Source organism: Homo sapiens, chromosome 7, assembly GCF_000001405.40.
Source record: "Homo sapiens chromosome 7, GRCh38.p14 Primary Assembly".
NCBI classification, from domain to species: domain Eukaryota; kingdom Metazoa; phylum Chordata; class Mammalia; order Primates; family Hominidae; genus Homo; species Homo sapiens.
In genome coordinates this window covers 45,221,251-45,232,800 of record NC_000007.14, presented here as the reverse complement: position 1 = coordinate 45,232,800, position 11,550 = coordinate 45,221,251, and the positions used below count along the sequence as shown (strand labels likewise).

Sequence of the window (11,550 nt, the reverse complement as noted above, 5' to 3'; positions counted from 1 at the left end):
GGTTATTTAAGTTGACCGAAACAAAAGTAAATTGTTGAAAACATATAGGAGAGACAAGCTTCAAAAGTGCCTATTCAAGGCCCGGGCGTGGTGGCTCATGCCTATAATCCCAACACTTTGGGAGGCTGAGGCAGGCGGATCACCAAGACCAGCCTGACCAACATGGAGAAACCCCGTCTCTACTAAAAATACAAAATTAACTGAGTGTGGTGGCACATGCCTGTAATCCCAGGTACTCGAGAGGCTGAGGCAGGAGGATCACTTGAACCAGGAGGTGAGGTTGCAGTGAGCCAAGATCACACCATCGCACTCCAGCCTGGGCAACAAGAGCGAAACTCCATCTCAAAAAAAAGCGCCTATTCAATGACTATTTCACACTCACATACAATTTACTCCACAGACTAATTGAATCAAGGCCAGCCTTGTTCAAAATCTGCAGCATGGCAACTTTCCATCCCAAATGCTTTGAAGTGAGAGGCCCCTGGTCAGAGAATGGCCTGAGGACACCTCCCACAGTGGGGTGCACACTTCCATGCAGGCAGAGCACCCCCATAACTCAGCCAGGTCTCACTCTCACCTTGTGACCCTGTCTTCAAAGTCCAGGTAAAAGGACGAATCCTCAGAAAACATTTCCAAATGTTCCTGTTGAGACGGCCACACTCTCTCTGTGCTTCTAGAATACGCACCTCCACCTCCTCAGAAGTGAAAGATGGCCAGGCCAGGAGCCAGATGAGATGGGGGAGATGGGAAGGTCTTTGACTGGAAGGTTAGAGGTTTCTCAATGATGGCAAGCAAGAGATCAGTTAGAAACACAAGGCAAAGGGTGGTCACCTGCCTAGAATCATCCTGAGTTGACATTCAAACTCCTGACAAAGAAGAGCCTTCACTCCAAACCAAGTTTAATTCACTTTTAGAAAAGATACAGTTCAGGAAACAACACAGGAGAGACACCAGCAGAGAGCAGACACGTGAGTCCCAGCAACAGCCTCCAATGTCCCCAAAGCACTCCACACTTGAGATGCACCTGGTCTCCACAGGGAGACTAGGGAAGCATGGGCCATCTTAGAGCCATGGAAAGCTATCAGCTCGGGGCCCACAGCCTTCCCACCTTGCTGGTGATACACTCCCTCCAGGGTCCCTGAAGCTCTCATCCTTCAGTCCAGCCACACCTCATCAGCACTCATTCACCATGAGATTTGGGGGCTTGGTCTGGGAAAACTGGCTGGATTCTTATTCATCTTAAGTTTGGCCTCTCCTATAAATTCATTGAGTTAATATTGCAAGGGTGATACTAGGATGGGTCAAAGCCCCCAGACAACAGTGTGTAACTCTTCTCCTAGAGGGGATGCTGGTATAAAATCCCTAGCCCAAGGCTCCAGCTACAACATCGAAGTGACAGGCTTAGGATGCAGCCACTTCAAAGCAGGGCCCTAGGTGGAGGGACTGGTAGGACTTGTTCTGACTAAGGCTGTCAAAAGTGGATGTAGCTATTCTATTTCATAGAGAAGGGAAGAATTAGCCTCCTCTGTGTTCCTGGTTGCTCCAACATCACTTTGTAATGGTTCAGTTTGCTTCTAGGGAGGGACGCCTCAGGGGACTTGGTTTATTACCTCCTACAAAAGTGGCAGAAATTGGGAGGTAGAAAATAGGAACAGGGGGCCCTAAACAGGAAGCAACATTTTATCCCTGGCTGAGGAATTCATCCTGGGAGTGTGGGCTCCTTCAGAGGCTGAGTTGCCTTGTCCAGGTCCCCCTGCACCCCGACTTCTTGCCTCAGGTGTCATGGTCCTAAGTGGCCTGACAGGGTAGAGCTCTCTGGATGGTACAGAAGCCTGAACCCCAGGCACGGTCTTGCCCACAACACTCTGCAGACCTGAGTCATCCCCTCATCCCCTACTCCGGGCTGGCAGGTGACCAATGTAGGGGGCCAAGATCCCCCAACTGAAGCCAAGGACAGATTTCAGGGGTCTGCAAATTTTGGACAGCTCCCTTGCTCTTGTTCTTCTCTCTTTCTCTCTCTGTCTCTCTCTCTCTGTCTCTCTCTCTCTCTCTCTCTCTCTCTCTGCGTGTGTGTGTGTGTCCCCTTTTGTTGCAGGGAAAAGACTGGGGTTAACATAAACTCTAAATGAAACAAAACAATAACAATCATTACAACAATTATATTTTGTGTTTTTTTCAAGCAAGTATCTATTTAATTCACCAGAATGGCTTAAGGGAAGGTCTTAAGATTTTCATTTTCATCTTCATGCCATAGGGGATCAATAGTTGATACAATGAATTTAGAGTTTGCATCTACAAAGCAAAGGTTTGCAAAGTGGCAAATTTTGGACTCAAATACAAGCCTGGGTCTCACTGTTTTTAGTGACAATGCTCAATTTAAACAAATAATTTTGCATTGTCAGTTGATATAAAGGAGAATTAAAAGATGACAATGTAGTCTCGCTGAACTGACTGTGGAACTCAACCATCCCCACATCCTGTCCTCTCTCCGGAAAATGTTAATGTGTTTACGCCCATGAAGAGCTGCCTCCAGCATTCCCCAACCTTTCCAAATAAACATCCAGGAATTCTTCTTCCCTTCGCCGACCCAAAATAACAAGAGTGATATTAGCTATCTCAGAATGCAATAATAATTAAAAGAAAACATTCCCACAGCTACATTTTTTTATCGAGATGACTACAAAAAAAATTTAGTGACATTAATTAAGCAAACTTTTTTCTTAGTGAATAATGATCCTCAAGTTAATGCAAGGGAAAAAAAAGAAATTGCTTTTGTGCTATCTACACACCCATAAGGAAAGCAGAAGCGATTGTGAATTTTCAGGGGACAATGGAAATCATAGATGTAATCAGACTACTGTCTTTATGTGATTAAAGTGACACATTTCAAGGGCCTTGTAGCATAAAGACCAGAAAGTGACCTAAAAGCTTTCAGTATGGTCAGTAGTTTATGAAAATGTCTGTTCTATGTATTTGCGTTGTCCCTCACTGAGACACCCCTCCACTCTCTATCTCCCAGGAGGTGGCGTGGTGGAAAGCGGGGCTCACGGCCAAACCTGCACCCACCAACTTGCTTATCAGTTATTGCAGCTGTGAAAAGGAGATGATTAAGCTAGCCTTGCAGGATTGGTAGGTATGGGGTTTATAATTAAAGTATGTGTGGTAAATGCATTGACCCAGACCTAACTTCTTTAAGGGAAAGGGTCTGGCCACATCTCAGTAGCTCTCTGAAAAAAAAAAAAAAAAAAAGAGGCATGGACCTCCAATTCCTGTTAGGAAGGAGCAGTTATTGGCAGAAATGCTTCCACTGAGAGCAGCTGGAGCAAGAGAGCAAATTACAGCCATCACTGACTTAGGGGCGTCCATGAGCTATGAAGGCAGCAAAGACTCTGGGTAAAATCAGGAGGAAGTCCCAGAGGTAAGGGGTGGCTGCCTTTCCCCAGGCAGAGGCTGCTGCTGGCGGCAGAACCAGGGCAGAGCTTTTGGAGGTCACATGTTGCTGAGTGCAGCATTGCATACAGGGCTGCAGAGTGCAGGGGCTGCTTACCCTGGAAATACGCTGCATGCTGAGGCCACGAGGCTGCACAGGCTGGGGCTAAAGAGCTAAGGAAAGTCTCTAAGATGGACAGGGTTTCTCCTGGCTGCAGGTGCCAAGGAGACAGACCCGAAGGGCTGTAAGAACAAGAGGCAGGTGTCGAAGCCCTGGAGGAAGTGCTGATGAGCATGCAGGCTTGAGGGCGTGTGGTGACCTGAGCATGGCTCAGGACCAACAGGCCAGGAGGGGCTGCTGTTTAAGGCAGAAAAAGCAGTGCCCAATGGTTGACAAACTGTAGATTTCAGGACCATTAAACACAGCCAGTCTCTCCCCACATTCTGAGGCTATGGGGGACGGAACATTAATAAGAAAAGCTTAAGACCTTTAAAACGGAAAGAAATAATGTTTGCAATTTCTCTGTGTCGAGAACACAGAGACAGGTTTTCAGTGGAAATCCCTGGAGAATCATGCCCTACAGATTGGGGTAGTCCAGAGAGAAAATTATTTTTACTCACACTGCAGCCCAGCTCAACCCAATCACCAAATAGCAGAGTGGACAGTGGACCCAGGGTGTCCCACTTCCCCCACAGACCCTGTGCCTCATGCCCTCAGGGCCTCGGTGTGCCATGACTCACAGGTGCAAAGAGGGGCAGCCAGGGTCGAACAGCCCTCGTGGTCTCCCTGGTCTCCCGTATAAGCCTCATAAGCCTCAGAGAGGGCGATTTTATGGAAATGCTAATGTAGGCTGATTCTCAGCCTTTTCTGAAGAGCTCTGCACTTTAATAACTGCTCCCAGGCATAATAGAGAAGAAAACTGCAAATAAAATAACAAATGCTATAATAAATCTCCAAAAGAAAGGGGATCACTTAGAGTTGTTATGTCTGTAAGAAATGGCATTGCCAAAAGGGACCTCTGGGTTGCTGGATTCAATAGACGTCTTCAGCCTCACCTTACCTGGCCTCTGGGCAGAAGCAGATGCTGTTGCTGCTTTAGCAGCTGGAACTGCTCTGGGTTCCAGGGATCCATCCCCCCTGGGCCTCCTCCACCTGCCACCCTGTCCTCCTCTCTTCTACCTCTAAATGCCAGAACCCTACAGGGCTTGATCCCATGCCCACCTCACTCTCATCTGTACCTCCACAGGGGACCTCACCCCTGCCACATCTCAGTAGCCCTCTGAATGCCAGCTACCCCAAATGTGTCACCCTCTGAGCTGCAGACCGTACCCTAGCATCACTGCCGGGAGCTCCACATGCGTCTCAGACTCAGCATGCCGGGCTGTGGGGCGGGTGGGACTGGACCCCACCTTCTGAGCCATGGGTTCCTCAAGCTGGGCTCCATTTTCAGTTCTTCTACTTGGAATTTACTGGTCTCTTGAGTCTATGGGAAGGCATCTTTCATACATTCTGGAAATTTCTCAGTTATTATCTCTTCAAATGTTGCCCTTACTCCGTTTTTTTCTTTCTTCTTCTGGAATAAATTTGAGAGGTGTTTCAGGAGTTCAGTGGGCTCAACTTAGTAAGGACATACAAGTTCCCCACTGTGACCAGCGCAGAAGTCCCTAAGACAACACAGAATGATTTTGCTTAGCAAAGCCTCGGCCACAGGGGAACCTAGTGCATAAGCTGACTGACCAGGCACACGGTCCAATAGCAAGCATGAACCAGGCATCTAGCTGTGGGCATCTGTGGCAATGAGACTGATCCACCTCTGCCAGCCTAGCCAGGACAGTCTGGACCACCAGGGATACCACACAACCCTGCTGTACAAGTCCCTGAACTGCCCTTGGAATGCAGCAGGGCCTGGACAACGCTCTCGCTCACCTCGTCCTTGAAACCAACCTGGACTAATAGAAGATATAATCTGCTCTCCAGAAAAATTGCCTCAGCTCCTCCAACCTTAAATACAAAGCTCCCAAGGAAAAAAACACTACATGCTAGAATCTTCAAGCAGGAAAGAAAACCCTCTCAGACAACGTGTTGGTTCCCATTCCTGAAGAGTTACATGTGCTGATTGTCTGCTGTGCCTTTATGACAGACATAGAACTGGGAGGATAAAAGCATATTTCAGAAAAAGGTTTGGGTTATTTTTCTTGAGCTCAGATAAACATGGCCGATTTCTTTTCAAATCTCCCCACACCCTGAAGTCTCTGGGTGGCTCTGCTGCAGAGTGGAACCATGGAGTGAGTAGAGGGAGGCCCAGAAGCACCTCTCAAACAGGGGTGGAAGGCCACATTCGTTCGTTAGTGTTCCTAATGGTGAGAAAGATGGGACATGGTCTGACCTGGAATGTAAATCAACATGCTGCTTCCTTCACCAAGGAAGCTCTCCCCATGGCATGCCAGCCAGTGTCAGGGGCATACGGCACTGGGCCGCTCACACTGTGAGGTGGGCTCTTTAGGATTCCCCACCCCACGGAGCAGGCCCTTCTCCACGCACACCCTCCCCAAGCTCCATGACAGCCTCCACTCTCCTATCCACTGAGGCAGGACGGTTCATATCAGAACAAACACAAGTAGGAAGTCCTTTTGACATGGAGTTGTTCTTATTATGCCACTATTTTAACTTCCAAATTTGGGGATTGATAAGACTTGTCATGGATAAATAGTCTGAAAATGATTTATAGTTTTTGTTCTCCTCTTGAAAGTAGTTCTCAGTAAAGCCTAACAGCTTGAAATAAGTCAGAATCTGGCACATACAGCTCTATGCATAAATATAATATACTCTTTTGCTATATTGATTGATGCGATTATTTCCGATCACTCCTGTTACCCATGACCTGTCCTCCCAGAGAATGCCTAAGGATTTCCACCCTCGCTGACCCAGGCAAACACAGAGCATATGGAGGACGTTCAGGCTTCTACTTTTCTAGTATTGAGAGAAACAAGCATTTCAGTAGCAAGATCTAGACTCCTTTAAATATCAAAAGATAAGGGTTTGTAACACCTTACCTTTCCTGCAAAAAGGGACAGGTGAAGAGGGGACAGGCTAGTCCAGGGAAGGAGAGGACCATGGTGCTCCTACTCCCCAGCAGGGATGGGGAGAGGGGCATGGGAGATGGCCACAGAGCCCTGGGAGCTGAGGCAGAAGGCTGGCCTCACTCCAGGCAGGGCTGGGGAGCATCCAGCTTTCAGACGTCCTCAGCCCTGAGTGCAGGATGAGGGCTGGCAGCATGGCATGGACAGGTGGGCTGGGCAGTCCTCACCCAAGCCTCAGGCAAGGAAGGAGCAGGGAGAGACAGGGCAGGGGAGGAGAGAGCAACCCCCAAAGGCCAGGGCAGGTAAGGACAACAACATGTCCACGGATGCTGCCTGGGTGGGGGGCAAGCTCAAGAGGGACATCTGTGCCCCCACCACACGTGTGTGCACACACCACATGCACACACCCAGTACACACACTTGCACGACCATTGAACACCTGTACACACTCTACACATGGGCGAAAACACACATCCTCATATGCGTGCATGCCACACATGTGCAGTCACACACTCACACACACACACACATGCACTTACCCTCACACTTACCCATGCACTACACACACTGACATGCCCCCCATGCTTTCACATGCAAACATGCACACATGTTCACACACATACACACTCACATGCACACACGCACACTCCATCCCCGAATACAGAGGTCCCATGAGTAGATAAAAGGGGACACCCGCATAGGCTGATGTGACAACAAACCCTCACAAGATACAGACAGGGACAGCCCTTTCTCCACCCCGCCAAATGAGTCCACACCCCACATGTGTCTGAGGAGCCCAGCCCCAGTAATGAGTGAGGCCTGGCCTACAGGATGCTGTGACAGGAGCTGCTCTTGGCCCCGCCCTGAGGATCAGGTGACTCTTCACTGATGCCCAGGCCTCCACTACCCTCCTGGCCTCTTTCCCCAGCTCAATTTTCCTCATTTAGCTTTTCCCAGACACTTTCCTTCCTCCTCAGACACCCTTCCTGCCTCCTCCATCCACCTGCCTCAACCCCATGCAGATTCCCAGCCTCCCAGCCCACGGTCCCCCTAGCTGGGAAAGCAGGGAGTCCTCTAGGACCCTAGGCCATGAAATGGCAAGGTGGGAGGTGGCTCTGCTCCTTGTCACCCCTGCCCACAGGCATGGAGAAGGCCACACAGTACAGAGGCTTCAACAATGGGGAGAGTTGCAAATCAGACAGAAAGGGGAGTGCAAGGCAGGACCATGGACAGCCACCCATGTGTAAACTTGAGGCTGGGGTGCCCCGTGGTGAGGATGGGGATGCCGTAAACTGAGGTGACCAGGGGACAGGTAGTGAGGAGACACACGTGTTCCCCTCAGGACAGAGGATTTCAGGTGCCCCCCCAAGACATCTGGTGGCCATGTCCAGGGAGCAGCTGGTGCAGGATTGCAGTGCTCCTGGGGGTCTGCAGAGCCACTGGCCTGGGTGGTCACACTATCCGGGCTGCCTCCCCTCTCCCCACACCCTACCTGTTCAGACCCAGGGGAACGGGAAGCTGTGCTCTGGGGAAGAGGGTCCTTTCATGAGCACCCGGTCACCCCCTGACAGGAAGCTGCGCTCTGGGGAAGAGGGTCCTTTCGTGAGTACCTGGTCACCCCCTGAAAGTCGGGAGGGAGAGCTGCAGGATGGGACAGAGGGCTCTGAGCAGGCAAAGGAATGCAGCACCAGGGGGAGTGGATGGCCATGGAGAGCCTTGGGCCCTGTCCTCCCTGCCACACCCTCTCAGGCCCCAAGGGCTTTGGGGCAGGCAGGACCCCAAGGCAGGCTGAGGCCAGAAGCCCACACCAGCTCTGCGCACTCTCTGGGCTGAGGGGTCAACCCAGAGCCAGGGCCAAGCTGGCAGGAGCAGCAGGCTATGGGCCAGGCCTGGGGGCGATGGAGAGCCGGCTCCTCACCCGACTCCCTTCTCTCCACCTGACAGATGGGGAATGTGAGTCTCGGAGAACCTACGTTGCAAAGTGGGCCCCAAGTCATGCAAGTGACAGAGTGGTTTGAATGCCTCGCCCATGCATCCACTTCGGCACTTTAGGACAGGGTGGCAGGGCAGGTCCCGGGCCTTCATGGGCCTTCATTTGATGCAAAGCTGGAGCCCAAACCTGCCATGAGGCCCCCATGGGAGAGGACAGCATGTCAGCCAGGTGGTGGGGTCCCCATGAGAGGCCCATCTGAAGTCCAGGGAGCGTGCATGGATAAAAAGGGGGTGCCTCCAGAGCATTCCATCTCCAATAGTACAACAAAGGCCAGCTGGACCCAGACTCTCTGCTCAGAGGAAAAGGGCACTCATCTGAGTCTCCCAGACGACCTGGGTCCTGCCCTGCTCTGCTTGGTCCCTGGGGGTGCTGAGCTATGAATCAGGGGCCCAGATGTGCCAGCTCCCTTCCCCGCCCCTGCCCACAACTCACTCCACCCTGAGCCCCAGGTGCCACCTGACCGCTGACCCCTGATACCCTGGCCTGACCAGCACCATGGGAGGAGACCCCTTTGTGGCTAATTTAAAGAAAACTGTCCTTGGCATTTAGTGCCTAAATACATCAAACCATAACTATAATTATCTCAAAGCATACATTGTTATGGATATTGGAACTTCTGGACGTTCTGTTGTCATAGAAGTGTGTTCTTGCAAGTATCGGCAGGCTGTTTCCTTGGCTTTGCACATCTTATGACCATGGGTCGTGACTGGCAAGGAATGTACCTCATTAGTCTCAAGATGGAGCTGAACTTAAAATGTCATTACCCTGGCTCTCCCAGGCTCCTGCTTTTCTAACAGGGGAAGCAGGCAGGGGATTTCCGGGGGATAAAGGGACTCACTGGAGCAGGATGAGTGCAATCAATTTTGATCAAACATATTTGCTATTTGGGCATTTTTGGCTTCTCAGCAAATCAAGTAACACCCCAATCTTCAGGGCCAGCTGAGATACCTCAGCTTCTTCAGGAAACAGACCCTGCCAACACCTGCATTGCACAAGTCTCTGCTCCTTGCAGGAAATGTACAAGGCTGCACCATAGCACAGGGATCATTCAGTCATTCAGCACATTTTAATGAGCACCTACTAGGAGCCAGGCCCTATCTCAGGCACTGGGGTTACCCCAGACAACAGACAGATAAAAGTTCTCTGCTCCCTCCAGAAATGGCTTTCTAATTTCTGTAAGCAAAATACATAAGTAAAGATATACAGCATATTAGGTGCTGTTGAGTGGCTCCAGAGAGAAAACAACGAGATTGGAGGATAGAGTCTGGGAGTAGGGGCAGATGTCATGATAAATGGGACACTCAGGGAAGGCCTCAATGACGTGAAATCAAGCAGAGACATGAATTGTTCAGGGAGAAAGCCACCTGTCAACCAAGAAGAAGCAAAGGACCAGACTGCAAAGCAGTAAGACAAGGAGTGTTTTGGGGTCTTAGGAATTGGCATTCAGGAGACACAGATTCAGCTAGAAACCAAACTGTGTTCTCAGGAGAGGAAGGGGAGTAGGGATTTTTAAAAGTACGCTGAGGGTGATTACACACGTTGTTTTGAAAGGATAGTCATTGGTGCAGGCGGCTAGCATAGTACATGAGTCCGCAGATCTTTGGTTTTCGCTGTTCAGGAGTCGCAGTGCGGTGGCAAATTCAGTTGTTCTCCAGGATGTTATGGTTGTGGCCGGGGGGCCCAGAGCAAAGGTTCAAGCAAGCTCCTGTTTGGCAGGGTTGCGGCCGTGCAGGTAGTCCTTCTAAGGATGGCTTCTCAACCCCATTTTAGCACTCTGAACCAGAGTAACACCATTCTATCACATTCCACACCCAATTATTGGAGTAAGAGGGAAGAGCCTGTGCAAAGGCCCTGGGGTTGGGGCAGACCCTGCCTGTTCAAGGAACAACAAGAAGCCTGGTGCAGCTGGGATGAAGGGAGCCTGGGAGGGCAGATGAGGTCAGGGAGAGAACACAGGGCCAGATGGTGGCTTTTATTCTTAATGAGTTGGGCATCTGCTGAAGGACGACCTGGAAGAAGCCCAGGAAAGAGGAAGGCAGCTTGGACCAGGAGGTGGCCATGGAGGTGGTCAGCTGTGCCTGGACTCTGGATATGTTTTGAAGGTAGAATCAGCTGCCTTAACTGGAAAATGTGGCTTTTGAAAGAGAGGCATTATGACTCAAAGGTCTGTGATCAGAGCAACTGTAAGTACTGGTGCCACCTTCCCTGAGCTGAACTGGAGCGACCCGCAGTGCAGCAGCCAGGATGAGGCACTCGGTCTGGGACATGAGTGCTCAGTGCGGAAGCAAGGAGGCCAATGGATAAGGGAATGGCAGCTGAGTGGTCAGGCTTGTGGAAAGGGACATGGCAGCTGTTTTATGGCCTGGAAGGGAAGTCCTTGCAAAGGTGTTGTAGTTTTATTGTCAGAAACACACCTGGAAGATCTTATTTGCCATCATTTCATAATTTTTCCTGCAACATTCAGAGGCATAGTCTGTTGTTGGTGGTTTTTCAGACATGAGCCACCACACCCAGCCTGTTGTTTGTTGATGAATTAAATAAAATTTTGACAACTACTCACCAGGTATTCCAAAGAGAATTTTGTTTGTAACCACTAGAGATTCCACAGTAGAAGGCAGCCTTGGTCTCTGGCTAGGGTGACAGACCCCAGAGAGAGGGACGGGGCTTCCTGGCCCAAGGGAGCTGGTCACTAGGTTTGTAAAGGAATCTCATGAGCTCATGGGAGGTGGGCCTGGACCCATTCACTCCTGCAGGAAAGATCAATGCTCCCCACTGAAAAATAAACTACACATCAATTGCCAACCCTGGAGTCTGTTTCCCTGCAGGGCCCTTCTCGGTGATTTTCCATGGCAGGGGCTGTTTGCGGAGGTATCTGTGTCCTGGTTTCTTTTGCAGATCTGTGTTTCTAGAAGTGAGAAATCGTTTCCTTTCCAGAGAGACAGTGGTGGGTTGGAAATTATGAATCTGTGCCCGTAGCCATTAGCCAGGCATGGGGACTGGCCAGAAGATTCTATTCAAAAGACGGGTCCACTGCCCGCAGAGATCAA

At 50.3% G+C, this 11,550-nt stretch overlaps 1 annotated feature.

The window, feature by feature from the left end:
- Positions 11,006-11,175: an enhancer, noted in NCBI's record as "experimental_99247 CRE fragment used in MPRA reporter constructs". NCBI's record gives its function as "activates a minimal promoter by MPRAs in K562 erythroleukemia cells, with activity observed for both the introgressed and non-introgressed 7:45261310 variant alleles {active_cell/tissue: K562}" and the evidence as "EXISTENCE:reporter gene assay evidence [ECO:0000049][PMID:34662402]".